The 23,143-nt window shown below is 41.3% G+C and overlaps 1 protein-coding gene across 5 annotated transcripts, besides 1 other annotated feature; it reads left to right on the top strand.

Moving 5' to 3' along the window:
* Nucleotides 1,743–2,499: an enhancer, noted in NCBI's record as "H3K4me1 hESC enhancer chr19:44905171-44905927 (GRCh37/hg19 assembly coordinates)". NCBI's record gives its function as "activates a minimal SCP1, AML or CMV promoter by ChIP-STARR-seq in primed H9 embryonic stem cells {active_cell/tissue: H9 hESC(primed)}" and the evidence as "EXISTENCE:reporter gene assay evidence [ECO:0000049][PMID:30033119]".
* On the top strand, nt 1,896–21,206 carry ZNF285 (zinc finger protein 285). Of its 5 annotated transcripts, none has more exons than NM_001291488.2 (5): nt 1,896–1,936; nt 6,248–6,305; nt 8,964–8,984; nt 11,038–11,164; nt 15,402–21,206. In NM_001291488.2, the coding sequence occupies exons 2-5, from the start codon at nt 6,291–6,293 to the stop codon at nt 17,030–17,032; spliced, it is 1,794 nt and encodes a 597-aa protein (NP_001278417.1). In that variant the 5' UTR covers nt 1,896–1,936; nt 6,248–6,290; the 3' UTR covers nt 17,033–21,206. The 5 variants fall into 5 exon arrangements, with proteins under 5 accessions (NP_001278417.1, NP_001278419.1, NP_689567.4 ...); NM_001291490.2 differs by having other exon boundaries at nt 11,038–11,298; NM_152354.6 differs by lacking the exon at nt 8,964–8,984.
* Nucleotides 21,207–23,143: the final 1,937 nt, after the last annotated feature.

Below are 23,143 nucleotides of genomic sequence, written 5' to 3'. Positions count from 1 at the left end.
TGGGCCTGGTGGCGGGCACCTGTAGTCCCAGCTACTCGGGAGGCTGAAGCAGGAGAATGGTGTGAACCTGGGAGGCAGAGCTTGCAGTGAGTTGAGATGGCGCCACTGCACTCCAGCCTGGGCAACAGAGCGAGACTCAGTCTCAAAAAAAAAATAAAGGAAATAAATAAATAAATAAATAAATAAATAAATAAAGCAAATGCTATAGAGAGGAAAATGACAAATTTACCATTATAGGCTTTTTTTTCTTTCACTTTTTTCTTTTTTCTTTTTTTTTGGTGACAGAGTCTTGCTCTGTCGCCCAGGCTGGAGTGCAGTGGCATGATCTCGGCTCATTGCAACCTCCACCTCCTGGGTTCAAGTGATTCTCTTGCCTCAGCCTCCCAAGTAGCTGGGACTACACGTGCTTGCCACCATGCCTGGCTAAGTTTTGTATTTTTAGTAGCGATGGGGTTTCACCACCTTGGCCAGGCTGGTCTTGAACTCCTCACCGCGTGATCTGCCCACCTCGGCCTCCCAAAGTACTGAGATTACAGGCTTGAGCCACCACGCCCAGACTGGGAACCTTTTTGACATGCACTTTTCAATCGTTGACAGATGCATAATGAAAAAATCTAAGTAAGCACAAATAAGCATGTAGGAAATTTAAATAGCACAGTTAGCAAGTCTGGGGAAAATATAAATGTATGCATATCCATCTGATAGAGAAGACACATTGTTTTCCAACAGACACAGATGTCACAAAAATTAACCTTGTATTAGGTCAAAAATAAAAATGTTCCTGAACTCGTTTTTTAAAATTCAAGTATGTCAAATTAAATCAAGTAATCCTTCAACTTAGAGCAATATATAAGAACATCAAACATGTAAACATCAAAAGACAGAGATAAGCCAAAACAATTGCACTGTCCCTTTATGTGCCCTAAGCTGCGATGTCAAGCTATAGTTGGATATTATTCAACCATTTCCTGCCCATTGCGTAGAGGTGGGGGTCTTCACTTCTCTATCTAGTCTAGGACTGGAACCGCCTCACCACCCCTACAGCTTGAGGGTGCGTGGAAAAGGGAATGCCAGCCAGATATTCCAAACAGAGACTCTGCCAGCAGGACCAGGTGACCTTTCCTAGGAGACAGATTGTTCTCACACGTTATCAGGGCTTTCCTCCAGGCTAAAACTGTGGGCCTCTAATGGAATTCCTATTCAATTTTCTTACCCCATTTAGGGTACCCAAATTTTTCTTTAATAGAAATCTTAAATCTTAAATGCAATAACATGAAGTAAAATAAAGCCTAAGTCTCAACAAGGGCAAATTTTCAAAAAGAATCTGAAAACTTCCCGCGTTTTCTTGTTATGTTGTAATGTGTCTCTTTTAGGACACTCTCAGTACTCCTGCAATTCCCCTGTTAAGGATTCAGACAATAGTTGTTAATTCCTTCTGCTTCTTCTGAGACTAGGAAATAAATTACAGGGCTATGTTATATCGCAAGTGTAGATTATCCAGAGTTTTCATCAACAGAAATAAAACATGGTGGGGGGCGGGGAGGGAATTATTTAAGTGAGTGTTAATTGAAAAGTTTCGTGGTTTTAACGTTAAAAGACATGCCTATAAAATAAGAACTTATAAAAGTCTTCACTAAAACGGTAAAGTGCCCATTTCCAAGTAGTAAAATATTGAAACTTCTTTTCATCGTTGATAGTGATTTATTTAACATTTCATTATTTTATCGTTATTATGATTGTCGTTATTTTAGACGAATGCACGGAAGTCAAAGGACTTCCAAATGCACGGAAGTCAAAGGCCACCTTCACCAGGGTAGCCTTGCGAATGGCCACTGCTGCGCGCGGGGCTTTCTGGGGATTGTAGGCCATAGGCCTCCTTGCGCATGCGCCATGGTACTGGACGCACGCTGCGGGCGACATTGTTTGGGACGCTGGGGTGAGTCCCGTCTGTACCGCGCCCCTCTTGGAGGCGTAGCCAGGAGTAGGAGTGTAGGATGTGCAGCTGTGACCCGTCCCTGTGGACTGAAGTAGGAGGAGTGGAAGAGGGGACTGGTAACCAATGATAAGGCCTCGTAGGTGGGGTAGACTAGGGAAGTTCAGCGGCCCGACCTACCCGGGATAGGATGGGAAGAGCGTGGGCTCGAGCGTGGGCTCGGTTTGGGGAGCAGCCCTGGGTTTGACAAAACAGTGCATCTTCACGTTTCGTGACAGCGACTTGCGCTGTGCCTCCTCGGGTCGAAGCTTAGGGTCAGTCTTGGGATGTGCATCTCTGGATGAGGGCAGAGGGGCGCTGGCTCAGGGTTTTGGAGTAATGGCTGGACTGTGCGTCCCTGAATGGGATGAGGGATTTGCTTAAGCAGCTAGTCTCTGGATATAGAGGATGGCTTCGGCTGTTCTCGCTCAGTTTGGTGGGGGCGATTCTGGCTCAGCACCCCTAGGTTCTTGGATGGGGAGTTGTCTTGGGTCTGAACTCTGGATTTTGGCAGCTCTGACTCCATTGGGGCATTTATGACTTCAAGGCAGAGGTTCTGGCTTTTGGCAATAAAGAAACAACTCAGACTGTAATACTGTAATAACTCCAGAGTTTAATGTCACCGAATACATTTTGAAAAGAACTGTCCCAGGCCTGGCGCGGTGCCTCACGCCTGTAATCCCAGCACTTTGGGAGGCCAAAGTGGGCGGATCACGAGGTCAGGAGATCGAGACCATCCTGGCTAACACGGTGAAACCCCGTCTCTACTACAAAAAACAATTACAAAAAATTAGCCGGGCACGGTGGCAGGCGCCTGTAGTCCCAGCTACTCGGGAGGCTGAGGCAGGAGAATGGCGTGAACCCGGGAGGCGGAGCTTGCAGTGAGCTGAGATCACGCCACTGCACTCCAGCCTGGGCGACAGAGCCAGACTCTGTCTCAAAGAAAAAAGAAAAGAAAAGAACTGCCCCAAATTATTAACTCCATTCTCACCTCACATGCTGTGAGCCAGGGAGTAGGGACTTTGAGTATTATAAAGCACATTAGCAAATATAAGTTGTTAAATTACACTCAACAAATTTGAAGTTTGAACACTCTCTGTATATTTGATAAAGTTAGAGATTTAGTGTTAATTATTTTAGGTGTAATAGCAGCATTTATTACATTTCTGATCGTGTTTCTGGGCAATTGCAGTTCCAGATTCAGCTGCACTTTTCCTCTAGGTCTTCATTCCCTGAAGAAGTTGATATGGGCATCTGGTCTCATTCCTGATGCATTCCTCAGATCAGAGTAGTTGTCAGGGTGAGGGATGAGAAAGGCATTTGTGTGCGAGAGCTGTGTGGACTTTGGCAGATAGGGAAAAAACAAGAGTCTTGAGGTGCCATGTGTCCCATGCCTTTGGCTCCCCACCTTTTCCACCCTGCTGTCTGCCCTGAAAGGCCGCCATTGCCTTCTGGCCTTGCTTGTCTTTGGCCAATGGGAAGTCTCAACAGGAAAGTTTGGAGAGAGGAAGAAGTGTGAGTTGGAGTATCTTGTCCCCCAGTTCTCTCTCTGCAGGATTGTCACAGATTAGCTGCCCTTCTAAACAACAGGTCATAGTTTGGGTGGCCCTGGCCACACAGTCCTCTTAGTTCCAGGCTCCAGGGACTGCTCCCTCCCCTTACCTCTTAAGGCCCAGGTATTATAATGGCACCTCCCTGTCACTCCCCAGGATAGAGCCTTATCCATTGTGATTTCCTTACCCCGAGCCAACACCATTGTAAGCCGTCTGTTTATTAAACTCTCCTCAAATTTCAATGTGCCGTCTGGTTCGTGCCACGGCCCTGACTTGATACAGGCAGGTAGTGTCTGAAGCCAGAAATTCAGGAAACCAAACCCCCAACCATATATGTGTGAGTGCATGTGTGTGGATGTGTGCTTCAAAATAAACCTGTCCCATTATTGGCTCTTCAGTGAGAACAGGTACTGGAAGTAGAGGGTGAGTTTATGTCTTTGCACGTGCATCTAATGTATAATATCCAAGCCAATTCTATTTGTGCATTTGTTAATATTGAGAAACATTGATTGAGTGCTTGTTAAATGATAAGATCCTTACCAAGTACAGTGGATAAAAGACTACAGCTTGGTTATTTTTTTTTTTTTTTAGGATTTGTAGTTTTTTGACAGGGGAAAGGAGGAGTGTTTTCTTGGTAGGTTTTAACTATTGTAAAACGATGTAATTCATGCTGTACTAATGAGTTGAACCCTCCTTATTTTGGCCTTTGTTGGAGCCCAAAATAAGAAGTGATTAATGATGTCTCTTAAAGGTAGGAAAGGAGAGAAAAAGAGTCCAAGGATTTACCAAAAAGACATTTCACATTCTATTAACCTGATTCTATAACCCTGTGAGCTGCAATTCAAAGGGTAGCCCACAGACCAGTGCCAATAAATGATATTGGTCTGTGACCAGATAATTTGAGAACTTGAGTGTAGATGTTGAAAATTTTGTCTTATTGATTAACATAATAATAACAATTGGGCTTTAATTTGCATACCTTCTAAATTTCCTTTTTCTGGTAATTTCTTGTTACTGTATCTTACCAGAATATCAGTCTGTGACAGACTGAAAGTAACAGTAATAATAATTTAAAAACTAGTCCTTTATCACAGATAGTGTGAGAAGCACTATCTGAGAAGGCAGAAACATGGCTTTGGGCTTTTGTTTTTTAATCTTCGGTGTTTCCACAGTGCTTAAAGTGGCAATTTTATACAATAAGTTTCTCCACAAAGGCCAGAGGCAATTGTGTTTACAGGGTTTATCAGATGGAATCCCAATAAAAAATAAACAGAACACTCAAATTGGGTAATTTGAGAAGAGCTTAATAAAGGGACAATCTATAAAGTTGTAGGCAGGCTGTGGTAATCAACAAAGGATACTGCAATATTTCAGAGCTAGTGATAGCAGGGTAACTTACTGACTTTAGGACTGAAGGGCTAAGGGAGGAGGCAGTTGCTAAAACCTGAAGAAAGATTTATGGGATGACAGCTGCCTGATGGAGGCCATGACCTTTGGTCAATGGATATGGAATATAGCCATTCCACAGCAACCTCTAGGGAAAAACCTGGGGGAATAAATATTCTGACTTCACTCTTGTCCCTTCCCTGGATCTCTTGCTGGCTTTCCCCATTGGCTGAACCCAACTGGAAGCTAACTGGCAAGGGAATCCACTGATATAAGCAGAACAGGAAGGGGCTTTAGTGTATATGAAGTGGCAAGCTTAGAAGGCCTCTGTCTACCTACTTTGGTCTACCTGCAGTCTGAGAACATGTGTAGTTCAGTATACCATGAGCATTTCCAGAACAGAGAATGTGTCTTATATGTCATAGGTGTGTCATCAATATTTGCAAAAGCAGGGGATAGAATGGGTGCTGGAGAGATAGTTTAGGAAGCCAAGAGTCAAGGTGTAGATGTTTAAAAATTTGTATTATTGATTAACATAATAATAAAAATTGGGATTTAATTTGTATATTTTGGCTAACGGCATGTTCTTTAGACCACAGGCTTGGCCATACAAGATCAAGTCTTGCATGCGAAAGTGGAAATAGCAGAAGGTCCCTGTCATCCTGAGATTGCTCTCTCTTTTTTTTTTCCTCTGTTTTTTTTTTTTTTCTCTTTTGAGACAAAGTCTGTCTCTGTTGCCCAGGCTGGAGTGCAGTGGTGCAATCACAGCTCACTGCAGCCTCTGCCTCCCAAGTGATTGTCCTGCCTCAGCCTCCTGAGTAGCTGGGATTACAGGCATCCGCCACCACACCCAGCTAATTTTGTATTTTTAGTAGAGACAGGGTTTCACCATGTTGTCCAGGCTGGTCTCGAACTCCTGGCCTCAAGTGATCCACCCGTCTCGGGTTCCCAAAGTGCTGGGATTACAGGTGTGAGCCACTGTGCCCAGCCCTGAGATTGCTCCCTTATTCAGCAATTCTGTAGCCTCTTTTCCAGCATAATTGAGATGTAGATTATGTCAGTTCATTCACAAGTCTCAGAAAAGGAAAAGAATGTGCAGGTTTTGACCCAAAAGCTTCAGGAGAGAGATAGGAGTTACACAGTGGTCTGAGATTGAGGGACTGGGGACAAATCTAGGGAAGTCTTGAGGAGGTGGGAGTTCAGTCTGTTCAGAGCGAGAAGAGATGATATCCAGTGAGAGGAGAAATTGTGAGAAACTTGTACAGATAAGGAAGGAACCAATGTTCATTCACAACTTGTTGAACCCATGATCTCATGGATTATTTCTTCTTTGCAGTTCTGCTTTTCCAGAATCCTGCCCTTTCCAAAAGGAAGACGGTATGATTAAGTTCCAGGTAAGTTAAGGGTTTCTTTCTCTTTAAATATGCTGTTCATTCTGAGGAACCAGACACTTCTGTTTTCTGAAAGGAGGTCAGCATTTTTTGAGTGACTACTATGTATTAGGTACTTTATCTGCTCATAATGACTTTGTGAGGCAGGTGGTTTGACTCCCTTTATAGAAGTGAAGAAACAAACTCACAGATTTCAAGATGTCTACTTTGGTGCTACTCTAAGTGTAGTTCATGTATCAGTACCAGTCCATGAACTGCTTATCACTGCCCGATGAGGGAAAAAGAATCAAGAGTAAGTTCAGAAACTTACAGAAATTTGGTGTTGCCGCAGCATCCGAGTGCATGGGCAGCATATACGTGACCATACTCTAAATGTGACTGGCCTCATTCAATAAGTAGCAAGATTTGAATGGGTATGTATTGGTCAGAGTTCAGTCAGCAAGGCAGAACCAGTAAGAGATATATATTAAGAGATTTATCATAAGGAATTGACTTATATGATTATGGGGGCTAACTAGGCAAGTCCAGAATCCACAGGGCAGCCCCTCAGGAAGGGTGGGCTGGAACTCTTGGACACAGACTGAAGCTACTGTCTGTGGGTGGAATTTCTCCCCCTCCCAGGGAAGCCTCAGCTCTGCTCATAAGACCTTTCAGTTTATTGAATCAGACATACTCAGATTAGTTAGAATAATCTCCCTTAAAGTCAACTGATTATGGACTTTAATCACATCTACAAATTATCTTCATAGCAATACCTAGATTAGTGTTTGATTCAATAACTGAGGACTGTAGCTTAGCCAAGTTGACACATTAGAAAGACCATCACAGTGTGGAGGAAGGATTTTCTTTTAATCATGAAAAAAATTAATTATGAAAATACACAAAAAGAGCAAATGGTATTATGATCCTCCATTTGCAGTACCCATCATGCAGTTTCAACAATTAACTTTTTGCCAAAGAGAATTGCTTAATCTCTTTTTCAGTTTTTTTCTTTCCCAAAGTATTTGAAAGAGGCATGGTATTTCACATGGTATTGGTTTTTCTCTGAGCATATCACTTTTGTATAGTACCTTATTATATATGCAACTAAAATGAATGAGTTCACACTTTTATCCTGCTGCCTGGAAACCATCTTGCCCAAGTCCAAGATTCATTAGGTACATTTTCTATCTTCTAAATTACAGCAACAGTTCACCAAATGTTCACCACTGCATCACCCAGGTCACCATTTTTCCAGCCTCCTGTAACAGTGTCCTCAATGGTTATGGCCTGGACCTAAAGCCAATGCCATGGATATTTGGTAGCACTCTGCTCGTTTTGGTTAGCTTGGTTGTGTCCTCATAGTGAAGACAGAGGGACAAGAGAGCAAGTGGACATGTGAGATCTGTCAAGGCCCAGGTTTAGAACTGGCACATTATCACTTCTGCTTCATTTTGGTAGCCAGAATAAGTTACACTGCCAAGTCAAAACTAAAGGGGTAAGGAAACACACTCTGGTCCTTTAGTGGGATTGGAGAGCATGGAAGAGGATATTTCTAAACAGCAGTCTAACTTACCACACTCTCTGTGTATTTCAGTATATATTTCCTTAAAAATGGACTAATGAAATAATCAATAATTATTTGGTATTATCTAATACCCAGACAATAATCAAATTTCCCTGATTATCTCAAAAAATTTTTTAACAGTTGGTTTGTTCAAATGGGATCTTAACAAGGTCTATACTATCATACAGTTAGTTGTTGTATCTCATAATGTCTTTTAATCTAGAGAAATCTGCCCCTCTACTTTATTCTCTCCTGCTATTGACTTGTTGCAGAAACCAAGTTTGGTGTCCTGTGTTCTTTCCTACATTTGGAATGCATTTGTTTGCTTCCTTTTGGTGTCTTTCAGTGTGTTACTCTATCCACAGTATTTCTTGTAAGTGGAAGCACCAGATGCTTGAATAGATTCATACTTCATAGATGGTTATACAAGAATACTTCATAGAGGAAAAGATTTAAAGATTTTTGCATGTGTTTATTCATTTATAAATTTGGTTTCTTAATATTTTGGGGCTGTCCTTGTATCTGCATCCTATGACAATCGCTGCCTAGGATTCCCACAAGGGATCCATCCAGCTACAAGGGTGGTGGAGAAATGAGTGTTTTGTTTTCCCAGGCTCTATAGCTGAGGCAGAGAAGGGAGAATGAGGAGTAGGCTGTGTGAACCTCTATTCCTAACTCCTTCTTCCTACATTGGAACACCCCAAGTAAGCTTCAGTGTATCTGTATTTCCTGAATGATTATCTCCAATTCAATTTTGTTGCCTCCCACAGAAGAAGGCATACAGTAGTGTTACTGAGAGAGTGGTGCTATTAGGACAACCGTGCTGACTCCCCTAGATTTTGTTTTTAATCATTGTCAGATTTTGGTAATTGGACAATTGTTAGTAACATGTTCTTGTGAAGTCCTTTGTAACTGCTTACAACTTTTGTTTGAAACCTCTGCTTTATTTAGAGATGCAGAGTCTATTGAGAGAACATATCTGTAAATACTTAACTCTGAGCAGTGCGATATATGCAGCCATAGAAATATTTTATGTAAAAATTGGTTTCTTGATGAGGAGATGGTTTTTTTAATTTTTTAAAATTTTCTTTTCTTCTTTCCAACTTTTATTTTAGATTCAAGGGATACATGTGCAGGTTTGTTACGTGGGTAAATTATGTGTTGCGGGGGTTTGGTGTAAAATTTTGTCACCCAGGTAATCAGCATAATACCCAATAGGTTATTTCAGTACTTCTTTTTTTTTTATTATACTTTAAGTTTTAGGGTACATGTGCACAACCTGCAGGTTAGTTACATATGTATACATGTGCCATGTTGGTGTGCTGCACCCATTAACTCATCATTTAACATTAGGTATATCTCATAATGCTATCCCTCCCCACTCCCCCCACCCCACAACAGTCCCTGGTGTGTGATGTTCCCCTTCCTGTGTCCATGTATTCTCATTGTTCAATTCCCACCTATGAGTGAGAACATGTGGTGTTTGGTTTTTTATCCTTGCGATAGTTTGCTGAGAATGATGGTTTCCAGTTTCATCTATGTCCCTACAAAGGACATGAACTCATCATTTTTTTATGGCTGCATAGTATTCCATGGTGTATATATGCCACATTTTCTTAATCCAGTCTATCGTTGTTGGACATTTGGCTTGGTTCCAAGTCTTTGCTATTGTGAATAGTGCCGCAATAAACATACGTGTGCATGTGTATTTATAGCAGCATGATTTATAATCCTTTGGGTATATACCCAGTAATGGGATGGCTGGGTCAAATGGTATTTCTAGTTCTAGATCCCTGAGGAATCGCCACACTGACTTCCACAATGGTTGAACTAGTTTACAGTCCCACCAGCAGTGTAAAAGTGTCCCTGTTTCTCCACATCCTCTCCAGCACCTGTTGTTTCCTGACTTTTTAATGATCGCCATTCTAACTGGTGTGAGATGGTATCTCATTGTGGTTTTGATTTGCATTTCTCTGATGGCCAGTGATGATGCAACAAAAGCCAAAATTGACAAATGGGATCTAATTAAACTAAAGAGCTTCTGCACAGCAAAAGAAACTACCATCAGAGTGAACAGGCAACCTACAGAATGGGAGAAAATGTTTGCAATCTACTCATCTGACAAAGGGCTAATATCCAGAATCTATAATGAACTCAAACAAATTTACAAGAAAAAAACAACCCCATCAAAAAGTGGGTGAAGGATATGAACAGACACTTCTCGAAAGAAGACATTTGTGCTGCCAAAAGACACATGAGGAGATGGTTATTAATACCAGATGATTACCCGCATCCTTTTATTTTGAGAAATTTCAATTTATCAGGAAAACGAAAGAATAGCATAATGTGTAATCTTCACCTAGATTCACCAATTGTTAACAATCACCCACAAACATATGTATAATATACATATATACACACACATGTCTATATTTTATTTGATTGACCCAGTTGGGGATAAATTGCAGGCATTACTATAATTCATCCCTAAATATTTCAGTTTGTATCTCCTAAGAATAAGAGCATTTTCCTACATTTCCACATTACTGCTAACATACTCAAGAAATTTCACATTGATACCACTATTTTTTAATACCTAGTTGATATCCAAGTGTTCTTAATTATCCTAATAATCTCCCATTTCTCTTTTGTGTTTTTTGAATCTAGGAGCCAATGCTTTTAGTTACCCTGTCTTCTTAGTTCCTTTTAACATAATACAAATAGATTAATCTGCCATGAAAAAGTGAAAATACTAAATCTTGGTGTGTGATGAGAAATGAACTCATGAAATGCTACTAGACTTGTGTATCAGCACAACACCTTAGTATAGATTTATCTGTGCCTATTTCCTGGGCCATATTTTATAATTTGATTAATACTGTCCTTTGGGAATCCCTGATCCAATAGGATTAGTGTCCTTATGAGAGCCTCAACAGAGCTTGCTCTCATTCTCCCTCTGCCATGTAAGGACACAGTGAGAGCAGAGCTGTCTGCAAGCCAAGAGAAGAAACCTGAATGAAACCTATCTTGGTGGTACTTGATCTTAGACTTTCCAACCTCCAGGACAGGAAGAAATAAGTTTATTTTGTTTAATCTAATCAGACTGTGGTGTTTTATTAAGGCAGCCCAAACAGACTAAGACCAGTCATTTGTGTGGATGATTGACGTGGCATGTGGTTGATGTTTTAGGAAAGGGTGACATTCAAGGATGTGGCTGTTGTCTTCACCAAGGAAGAGCTGGCACTATTGGATAAAGCCCAGATAAACCTGTACCAAGATGTGATGCTGGAAAACTTCAGGAACCTCATGTTAGTGAGTGAGTAACTGAGCATGAGACCACTGGACCTGTTTCCTCAAATCATCATTTCAAACCAGATAGAATATTCCAGTTAGACCACAAAGAGAAACTTTGGCCACTGGAAAGAAAACTCCTAAGAGATGCATGTGCAGGTTAGAAACCTACAGTTAATGAGCTTTTACAGATCTGGCCCCTTGTGATGGGTTTGTGAGGGAGCTCTCCCCAAATCTCATACCCCTGGCCTGTGGGCATTCAGTGCAGGAAGTAAGCCCTCCCTCCCCTACTCACACATTTAGGCTCTCATTCCTCATATTTCTCAGAATGAGACTGATAAAATTCACACATTACCAAGGGCCTTGATCTATTGGTTGCTTCTGGAGAAAAAAACCAATGTTTATCCAATGTTTTGGATAAACCGGTGTTAAAGGAACCAAGGGAGAACTTTGGTTTGGTTGGCAGTTACAATAGCCAACACTTACTGGTATGTAGTAAGTGTAATCTAAGTGTTGGCTTATATGATTACTTTTTGATAAATATCTAAACTCCTTTTCATTTCTCAGAGGTTCATATACAGTTATATGTTACCTAAGTTTAGTTTATGAGATACAGATTTGGTTTGGCTATGTTCCTACCCAAGTCTCGTCTTGAATTGTAGCTCCTATAATTCCCATATGTTGTGGGAGGGGCCTGGTAGGAGGTAACTGAATCATGGGGCAGGGGTCTTTCTCATGCTGTTCTCATGAGAGTGAATAAATCTCATGAGATCTGATGGTTTTATAAATGGGTGTTCTCCTGCACAGGCTTTCTCCTTGCCTGCCACCATGTAGGATGTCCCTTTGCTCTTCCTTCACCTTCTGCCATGATTGTGAGGCCTCCCCAGCCACATGGAACTATGAGTCAATTAAACCTCTTTCCTTTATAAATTACCCAGTCTTGGGTATGTCTTCATTAGCAACGTGAGAATGGACTAATACAGATAGTTACTGTTATTATCCCCCTTTTATGGATGTATTACTCTGTTTTCACACTGCTGATAAAGACATATCCAAGACTGGGCAATTTACAAAAGATAGACGTGTACTGGACTTACAGTTCCACGTGCCTGGGGAGGCCTCACAATCATGGTGGAAGGTGAAAGCCATGTCTCACATGGTGGCAGACAAGAGAAGAGAGCTTGTGCAGGGAAATCTTTTTTTTTTTTTTTTGAGATGGAGTCTGGCTCTGTAGCCAGGCTGGAGTGCAGTGGTGCTATCTTGGCTCACTGCAACCTCCACCTCCCAAGTTCAAGCAATTCTCCTGCCTCAGCCTCCCAAGTTGCTGGGACTACAGACATGCACCACCACACCCAGCTAATCTTTGTATTATTAGTAGAGATGGGATTTCACCATGTCGGCCAAGATGGCCTCAATCTCTTGACCTCGTGATCCACCCGCCTCAGCCTCCCAAAGTGCTGGGATTACAGGTGCAAGCCACCGTGCCCAGCTGGAAACTCCCCTTTTTAAAACCATCAGATCTCATGAGACTCATTCACTATCATGAGAAAACACAGGAAAGACCCGCCCCCATAATTCAGTCACCCCCTACCAGGTTCCTCTCATGACACATGGGAATTTTGGGAGTTACAATTCAAGATGAGATTTGGGTGGGGACACAGCCAGACCATATTATCCCACCACTGGCCCCTCCCAAATCATATGTCCTTACATTTCAAAGCCAATGATGCCTCCCAACAGTCCCACAAAGTCTTAACTCATTTCAGCATTAACTCAAAAGTCCACAGTCCATTGTCTCATCGGAGACAAGCCAAGTCTCTTCCATCTATGAGCCTGTAAAATCAAAAACAAGTTATTTACTTCCTAGATACAGTGCAGGTACAGGCATTGTGTAAATACAGCTGTTCCAAATGGGAGAAATTGGCCGAAACAAAGGGGCTACAGGCCCCATGCAAGTCTGAAATCCAACAGGGCAGTCAAATCTTAAAAGTCAAAAGTGATCTCCTTTGACTCTATGTCTTGCATCCTGATCACACTCATGTAAGAGGTGGGTTTCCATGGTCTTGGGCAGCTCCACCCCTGTGGCTCTGCAGAGTATAGCCTCCCTTCTGGCTGCTTTCATGGGCTGGTGTTGAGTGTTTGTGGCTTTTCTGGGCACCCAGTGAAGCTGTCAGTGAATCTAGCATTCTGGGGTCTGAAGGACAGTGGCCCTCTTCTCACAGCTCCAATAGGCAGTGCCCTAGTAGGGACTCTGTGTGGGGGCTCTGACATGTGGGAATTATGGGACACGACACGTGGGAATTATGGGAGTTACAATTCAAGAAGAGATTTGTGTAGGGACACAGCCAAACCATATCAATGGATGAAACAACTGAGTCACAGAATTAATAACTTGCCCACGATCACACAGCTTATAAGAAGAACTCGGATTTGAGCCATCCTAATTTGGCCCTAGGTCCTGTGTTTTTAATAAATAACCTCTTGAAACCAAAGTGTAAACTGTAGACACAGGACCTTTTGCATAAATCTGCATATCCCTGCAGTTGTTTCTCAAACTGCAGGATAAAACCCTCTTGGTGAGTCCTGAAATCAAATTACTGTGTCATAACTAGCAATGCCAGATGACGTGTTAGTGGGTGCAGCACACCAGCATGGCACATATTTACATATGTAACTAACCTGCACATTGTGCACGTGTACCCTAAATCTTAAAGTATAATAATAATAAAGAAAGAAAGAAAAAAAATAGATTAATAGAACAGAAAACAGAAGAATTTATCGAAGTGTATTGCACATCGTATGTAAGTATCAGCTGATAAAACTTCTGTTTTAGTGAGCAGTCTCTGTTGATGTTCGTGCCTATTCCTACTGAGTCATAATGCTGATTTTACTGTGGGTTACAATCAAAACAATTGGGAAACCACTGCTTAAAGCCCATTCGGGGCAGCTCATGGTCTCCCTTTCCCTGATACTATCTTATAAACTAAAGTCACTTTCAATAAAACAATGCAGAAAGGACCTTGAACCAGAAGCAGTATCCAGTGGGACTTGACCATGATATTCATGCCATTTTGGAACCCATCTTAGGATCCCAAGAATATGATCATCCTCTTCTGCCTCAGCCCCCTGTTTGTTATATACCACAGTCTTGCTTCCCTGGGTGCCAGGCCATTGACAGTGCCACAGTATCTGTTCCCCATTTTCATAGTCATGGCTGTCTGAGATTCTGCAACAACTTAAAAGGGCAGAACTTAAGGAAATGGATTGTAGGATCTGAGTGGTCTCTATCTTTTCATGAAGACAAAGAACCTTGGGGAAAATAAAAAGGATGTCTCTTAAAGCTTGTCTCAGAGGTTTACATACGCATCCCCGCACAACGCCAGGATCATATTTCACAATGTTTACCCCATTTCAATCCCCATTGCCTTTTTATCCCCATCCCCTTAAGGCTCATCATGTACAGTTGTGCAGGTTGTACACAAACATACGTGATAGTCCTCCATATGACAGTGATGTGAAGGAAGGGAAGCCATCAGGAGATAGGACTTGTTGCTTGTTTCTGAAACCTCTTGTGACCCTTTGTGTCCCTTACTCTGCCCAACATATAAAAAACACTCCATCAATATGTATTATTTATATACACACACACTACATAAAATGGGAGCCTTTCCCATACCTTTTGTAGCAAGATTATTAAAGGCTTTTTATCGACTACTCTTATAGCAGGGAGGTGAATTTCTTCCTTCATAAAATTTTCCTAAGATTTCCTTTTATTCCTTTTTGCGGTGTGGGGGTGGAAAGGTCTTGCTCTGTCACCCAGGCTGGAATGCAGTGGCACAATCTTGGCTCACTGCAACCTGTGCCTCCCAGGATTAAGCAATCCTCCAACCTCAGATTTCCAAGTAGCTGGGATCATAGGCAAAACTGAGCCAATTTTTAATTTTTTTGTAGAGATGGGAATCTCATTATATTGCCCAGCCTGGTGTTGATCTCCTGGGCTTGAGTGATCCTCCCACCTCAGCCTCTCAAAGTGTTGCTGTTACAGGCATGAGCCACTGCACCTGGCCAAGATTTCTTTTAATTTCCCTACAACACTTGATTTCTAATTGGCAGCTCACAGGTTAGAATTACCGTGGCTCTAATTGTTTCATACGTCAATAGAACCCAGGGACAACTTCCCACCCCATCATATTACATTTTCTCAAAACCTCTGGATGGATGATTGACTTGTTCTCTTAGCCAAATTCTCTTTCTTCTCCTAGGAGACGGGATTAAAAACAACATTTTGAATCTTCAGGCAAAGGGGTTAAGTTACCTTTCGCAAGAAGTGCTTCATTGCTGGCAGATTTGGAAACAAAGGATCCGGGATTTAACTGTGAGTCAGGATTATATCGTGAACCTTCAAGAAGAGTGTTCCCCACATTTAGAAGATGTTTCCCTCAGTGAAGAGTGGGCAGGCATTTCTCTTCAGATTTCTGAAAATGAAAACTATGTAGTAAATGCCATTATCAAAAATCAAGATATCACAGCATGGCAAAGCCTGACACAGGTTCTTACCCCAGAATCGTGGAGGAAAGCCAACATAATGACCGAGCCCCAGAACTCTCAGGGAAGATATAAGGGAATTTACATGGAAGAGAAATTGTACAGACGTGCTCAGCATGATGACAGCCTCAGTTGGACCTCATGTGATCATCATGAGTCCCAAGAATGTAAAGGAGAGGACCCTGGTAGACATCCCAGCTGTGGGAAAAACTTGGGTATGAAATCAACGGTTGAAAAACGTAATGCGGCCCATGTATTACCACAGCCTTTCCCATGTAATAACTGTGGGGTGGCCTTTGCAGATGATACAGATCCTCATGTCCATCACAGCACTCACCTAGGAGAAAAATCTTATAAATGTGACCAGTATGGAAAGAACTTTAGTCAGAGCCAAGATCTTATCGTTCATTGTAAAACTCACTCTGGCAAGACTCCCTATGAATTCCACGAATGGCCTATGGGCTGCAAACAGAGCTCAGACCTTCCCAGATATCAGAAAGTCTCCTCAGGAGACAAACCCTACAAATGTAAAGAATGTGGCAAGGGCTTCAGGCGCAGCTCTTCCCTTCACAACCATCATCGAGTCCACACAGGGGAGATGCCCTACAAATGCGATGAATGTGGGAAAGGGTTTGGATTTAGGTCACTTCTTTGTATTCATCAGGGAGTACACACAGGGAAAAAGCCCTATAAATGTGAAGAGTGTGGGAAGGGCTTTGATCAGAGCTCCAACCTTCTTGTCCATCAGAGAGTCCACACTGGAGAGAAGCCCTACAAATGCAGTGAGTGTGGCAAGTGCTTTAGTTCAAGCTCCGTTCTTCAAGTCCACTGGAGGTTTCACACAGGGGAGAAACCATATAGGTGTGGTGAGTGTGGAAAGGGCTTCAGCCAATGTACACACCTTCACATTCACCAGAGAGTCCACACAGGGGAGAAACCATACAAATGCAATGTGTGTGGAAAGGATTTTGCGTATAGCTCTGTTCTTCACACTCATCAGAGAGTTCACACTGGAGAAAAACCATATAAATGTGAAGTGTGTGGAAAGTGCTTCAGTTACAGTTCATATTTTCACTTACATCAAAGAGATCACATCAGAGAGAAACCATATAAATGTGATGAGTGTGGTAAAGGCTTCAGCCGGAATTCAGATCTTAATGTTCACCTCAGAGTCCACACAGGAGAGAGGCCCTATAAGTGTAAGGCATGTGGTAAGGGCTTCAGTCGTAATTCATACCTCCTTGCCCATCAGAGAGTGCATATAGATGAGACACAGTACACACACTGTGAGCGTGGAAAGGACCTTCTGACTCATCAAAGACTACATGAGCAGAGAGAAACATTATAAATGTAGTAAGTCAGGGTTCAATTAGTAAAACAGAAGCCACACTGTATTCCAGATGATAGAGGCTTACTCAGCCTGTGGGAGGGCTAGGGGAGCAAAAGACAGGGACACTGCCATCGATAATGTCAGCCTGCAGCACTGAAGTGTGCCAGGCAAGGACTGTGGATTTCAAGAACTTCTGTGAAGCTCCCATCAACTGCTGTATGCTACAATGGCAAAGAGGTTACTTTTGACAAATGGGTGGTTTGTGGTAGTGGTTGTAGTTAGTGGTCAAATTTCCATTAAAGGGTGTGTCCAGGAAGGAAATTCTAATTGGGATGATCATGGTAAGGTCTTCAGTTCAGCCAACGTCTTTAGATTTTTTTTTAGTCCCCAGTAGAAAAATACTCTCTGTATGAAGAACATTCAAAAGTGTGCTCAAAAATGAAACCCATGCTCTTACTATGAAAGAACGTTAGTACCCAGGTTTTCCATGAGATTCTCTACACAGGCAAGAAGCTCCATAGAAGTGGCATTTGAAGGGTGTGGCAGAGGCAGTGCTGTGTTTATCACACTGGTTCCATTTCCTTGCAAATAAGAAGTCTATTTCCCAGTAACCCTTGCAGTTAAGAGTGTGCCCATGTGATTGAGTTCTAGCCAATGGAGTGTGAGCAAAAGTGATATAAGCCACTTTCAGGTCTAGCCTTTACAAACATCCTCAGGCTTCTCTATCCCTGCCAAGGTGACCTTGGAGGCTGCTTATTCCAGACTGGGTTGATAGAAGGTCACTACTTCATCTGTGTTGGATTTCTTTTTAGAGTAAGAAATAAAAGTTCATTGTGTCTCACCACTGAGATTTTTGGTGGTTTATTTATTACTGCAGCATTGCCTAGGCTATCCTGACTAGCATGGAGGGATTTTATAGCAATATGTTTCATTGTCATTGGAGTCCACATACAGAAGTAACATAATTCAGAGTTCAAAACTTTTAAATCTTTAAGGCTTGATGTGGCAGTGCAACCATCTAAAATGGTATGGATGGGACTTCTTCAGTGATAACCTTCATTCATTGGTGAGTACACCAAAGAGAAATGTTCCAGATGATATAGCTGTGGTAAAACTTTACTGAAAAGTATAACCCACCGACGTAAGAAATCTCATATAATAGAGAAACTCTATAATGTGGGATGCTGAATAGGTTTGTCAGCTCACACCTTAAATGCGATTAAAAATTAACTAGAATAGGTGTTCTGTGGTTAGTCTTAATAAAATTAATTGAATAAAATCAACATTTACTAAAGTGACCAACAACATGTAAAAAACCAACAGTGTTCATTGCAGACTGATGCAGTCTTCTTCTCAGCAGACCTGTATAATAATGGGTTTTTAAAGGATGCTCTTTCTGTCAGTTTCCCCCCAAATTTGTCATTTAATTGGGGATAATAGATGAATTCGAGAGGAGATCTCTTTGCTTTTTTTTTTTTTTTTTTTTTTTGGAAACAGGGTCTTGCTGTGTCACCCAGGTGGCTGGAGTGCAGTGGCCTGATCATTGCTCGCTGAAGCCTTGAACTCCTGGCTTCAGTGATCCTCCTGCCTCAGCCTCCTGAGTAGCTGGGACTACAGACATACACCACCGTGTTCAGCTGATGTTTTCTTTAAAAATTGTACTTGTAGAGATGGGGTCTTACTTTGTTGCCCAGGTTAGTCTCAAACTTCTGGTTTCAAGCGATCCTCCTACCTCAGCTTCCCAAAGTGCAGGGATTACAGGTTTGGGCCACTGCACTCATCCCACAAGGTGTTTTTTTTTTCCTTCAAAAACAGTGTCCTTTTTTGTTTTAATTGACTTATAGGTTTCTTCATTTGGATCATGGTTTATTCCTAGTTTTTCTTGCATTACAGTTTCCTGCTAGTTATAGTTTGTAAACAGAACAGCCATTCAAGTGCAAATAAAACCATCCCTGAAGTGTCATTTTCTTACTGATCAGGTGGATAATAGTGAAATATTTTAAAAATTCTATGTCAGTAGAAATGAGGAAATGAGTGTTCTTACATAAGTTGGTGGGGGAAAGAAAAACAGGTACAAAGTTGCTGGAGAGGATCTTGTCTATATGTATCATATGTACAATGTGCATTGTCTTTGAGCCAATGATCCTGCTTCTCAGAATGTATTTTTAGGATGTAATTACATGAGTGGGGAAAATATGGTTTCAGAAAGAAATATGTTCTAAGAATTTTGCAATGAGAAGACTGTAAACAACCTGAAGGTTCATGTATAAGAGATTGAGTAAATTAGGGCATCCCATATAATGGAATAACATGGCTCCATCAACAATGATCTAGACCTATAAAAATGTCCACATGTTATTGTCCATGTCCACCACATACTCCAGTACTCCTACTTGCAAACATTAAGTTAGAGAAAAAATCCGGGATACACATTATCCTAGGAAGCTTTTGGGGTTTAGAATGGGTGCAACATTCCTTCATGACAGAATCAGCCCTCAGTGTTGGTGGAGGTGTCCCAGGCAATCCTCTAGTTTGGCCGGGAGCAGCGCTTGCATATCACATTAAGCTTTTTAAATATATGATGCTAACAGGAATGTCTCCCTACTTCACAAAATTGTTTGCTTTTCCTCTTGTAGCAAAGTAGCATGGAAAAAGCAGAAATTAGTCTAGCTCCCAATCAGTGGGAGCCAATCTCATTTACAAATGAAGATGCAGAGATCCTAAATAAATATGAGCATGTCAAATCCAATGATTTGATAAAAGCGTAACAGACTCGCTCATGTATAATTTATCCTAAATATGCTTATCAGCTTCTGCCTCATAACACACACAAGAACTGAGTAGCTCTAAATACATATTTATTTAGCTCATGATGTGTGAGCTGGCAAGTTCAACTGGGCTTAGCTGGGCAGTTCTGGTGTGGGACATGCTAGATTATCTTAACTGGGCTTTGTACATGCATCTGCAGTCAGCTGATGGTTCATCTGGGCCTGGCTGTTTTATGATGGTCATAGATGAGACAACGAAGTTCTCTCTGTCATCATGGTCTCTCACCCTCCAGAAGACCAATCGAGGGTTGGTCCCATAGTGCCAGGGTTTCAAGGGCAAAAGCTGTGATCTCTTAAGGCCTCATCAGGGAACAGGCTCAATGATACTTTCACCACATTTTAATGATTAAAGCAAGTCACAACACTGGCCCAGATTCATGGGGTGAGATTAAGACAAAATAAAAAATGTTGAGACATAATCATTGGAAGGAAAAGGAAGATACTATTTTTATGCTAGAGAATAATGTTATTTACTTATAAAATTCAAATCCACCTGTAAAATTTGACCAATTGAAGGCTGTTTTAAAATTATCGGGTCAACAAATTGGTTTCACACGAAATTGGCATGTGAAAATTCATAGCATTACTATGTAAGAGTCTTTTATAAAATGTAGCCAAAATGTTTCATTCACAATAACAATTGTGTGCAATGACCAGAATTGTCCAAAGGTAATTCTGGGAGTTCCCTTTGGGATGCCTAGGTGAGGAGCTATCTGGGGCCTCAGACTCCCACATTCTTCAGTGGGAAGGGCTTTACATGAACTCAACTTCCCAGCGGCTTTCTCTTCCTGATGGGAGGTGTTAGAACCTGGCTTTCTCATGCAACTTCTGTGAAGCTCTGACAACTAAAGCCAGATTGTCTGCTTTAGTTAAGTAGTCCAGATTACCTGCATAGTCAATTTGTTCCCTCACCAACATGGATGCCTTCACAATTGCTCTTTAAGAAGGATAAAAACATAGCGGTGAGGTGTGGTCTATTTCCTGCTTCACCCAGGCCCTGGTGCTTCTTCAAGTGGTATGAGAAATTGTGGTCCTGTGCCTTCTCTTCCAGACCCTTAGCTTACATGTTTTCCCTATAAAACTTAGTCCTAATCCCAGCACTTTGGGAGGCCAAGGTGGCTGAATCACAAGATCAGGAGTTTGAGACCAGCCTGGCCAACATAGTGAAACCCCGTCTCTACTAAAAATACACAAAATTAGCTGGGCATAGTGGCAGGCACCTGTAATCCCAGCTACTCAGGAGGCTGAGGCAGGAGAATCGCTTGAGCACAGGAGGTGGAGGTTGCAATGAGCCAAGATCGCACCACTGCACTCCAGCCCAGGCGACAGGGCAAGACTCTGTCTCAAAAAAAAAAAAAAAAAAAAAAAAGTCCCTTATGTGTGATGATAAAATTTGATGAAGAGCAACACTGGTGGACTTACATTACCAGAGATCAACATTTATTATAAATTTTCTATAATTAATACAGTGTGGTATTCGCTCAGGAGAGAAAAAATAGATCAATGGAAAAGAATTGGGAGCCCAAAAACAGATCCACATGTATACAGTGAGTTAGTTTATTAGCCTTGAAATATGTTGGAGAAATAATAGTCATTTTAATAACTGATGCTGGGTTATCAGTTATACTGATAACTACTACTTAACACTACTTAACACTAGCTCTTCATACAACTACAGGCAATAAATACAAATAGCATGCAGCTGGCAGACTGGGCCCAGTGGCTATGCCTCCACTAGACTGCCCATAGAAGCATAATAACAGCTACCGAAGATGTCTGATCTGTCTTGTCTTTTTTTTCAGGTATAATTTACATAAAGTGCAGACTTTAACTACATTTAAGTTTTAACAAATGTACATATCCTTGTAAATAATGCCCATTCAACATGTTAAACATTTTCTTTACCCCAAAATTTCCCTTGTGCCCCTTTCCCTTCATTTCTTTCCAAAAAAGGATATAATCACTGTTTTGCTTTCTATCACCATATGTTGGTTTTGCCTATTCTTGAACTTTATATAAATGAAATCATACTGTAATATACTCTTGCGTTTGGCTTTTTTTTCATTCAACATGGTTTTCTAAATTTGTAATTTATAATAAATAGAGTATTGCATATTTTATTATTGTTTATAAATTGTGTTCTGAAAACATTCTATATTAGTAAAATTTATAGTAAACTTATATAATGTACGTATGTTTCTTTCTGGAGAGCCATTTATTAAACATTTATTAGCATACCACTCACAAAGGAGATGTAACCCCAGAATTGGCCTTTTTCTTCTGTAGTCAACTGGCTTTGAAGTAGAATGTAACATTAGTTATTATTCCTCATTCCCCACTCATTCTCTGTATCTGCTTCTCTTATTTTTTTTCTTTTATTTTTCTGCAGACACTATGGTTACTTAAGTATCTACTTCTCTTTTTCTGCATGTCTTTGAGTAGAGACACTGGTCACCTTTGTTCCCCACTGTCTTTTCAAAGGTGCGTACGCGTTAGGGAACAAAAATATAGTGTCTTCCTCTGGAGCAGCAAATTTGTTTATGGACCACTCCAGTGAAGACAGTGTCTCCCTCTGGGGTGAAGGGCAGTGGTTTTGTTCCCACTGCCTATCATAGAAGATTCAGGTTTCCTAAGCTTAGAGTTCTATTCCTACAACGCAGCCCGCTAGGTATGCAAGCAGCACCTGGCCTTTCACGTCACTCTATGGGATTAGAGTGGTAAAAACCATTGCAAAGGATGACACTCTGGCTACTGCTGTGGTTGTGACTAATAAAGTCCTTTGTCTCAGAGCCAGGAGTCTCTTGTCTTGTGCCAGCATCTGTGAGACTGTCAGGCTAACTTGTGAGCTTGTAAATTGGTTCCTTTCAGATCCTTGGTTTTGATGGAAATAAATGTCTCTTAATCTTAGATGCAAACTAGAGCTACCTGGAATGCTTTCGGCTTTTTACAATTTTTTTCTGGTGAAATATACATAACATGAAATTTACCATCTTAACCATTTTTAAGTATATAGCTCAGTAGTGTTAAGTACATTTACATTGTTGTAAAACCAATCTCCAAAACTCATTTTATCTTGCAAAACTAAAACTCTATCCCATTCAACTCTATCCCATTCAACAGCAACCCTCAATTTTCCCCTCCTCCCAGCCACTGGCAGCCACTATACTTTGTGTCTCTATGCATTTGACTTCTCTGAGTCACGTAAATGGAATCATACACTATTTGTCCTTTTTTTTTTCTTTTTCTTTTTCTTTTTCTTTTTTTTTTTTTTTTGAGACAGAGTCTCTCTCTGTCACCCAGG

The sequence above is a fragment of the Homo sapiens genome, chromosome 19, assembly GCF_000001405.40.
Source record: "Homo sapiens chromosome 19, GRCh38.p14 Primary Assembly".
Taxonomy (NCBI): domain Eukaryota; kingdom Metazoa; phylum Chordata; class Mammalia; order Primates; family Hominidae; genus Homo; species Homo sapiens.
Note: the sequence above shows the minus strand (reverse complement) of the source record. Positions and strands in the feature narration are given on the sequence as shown.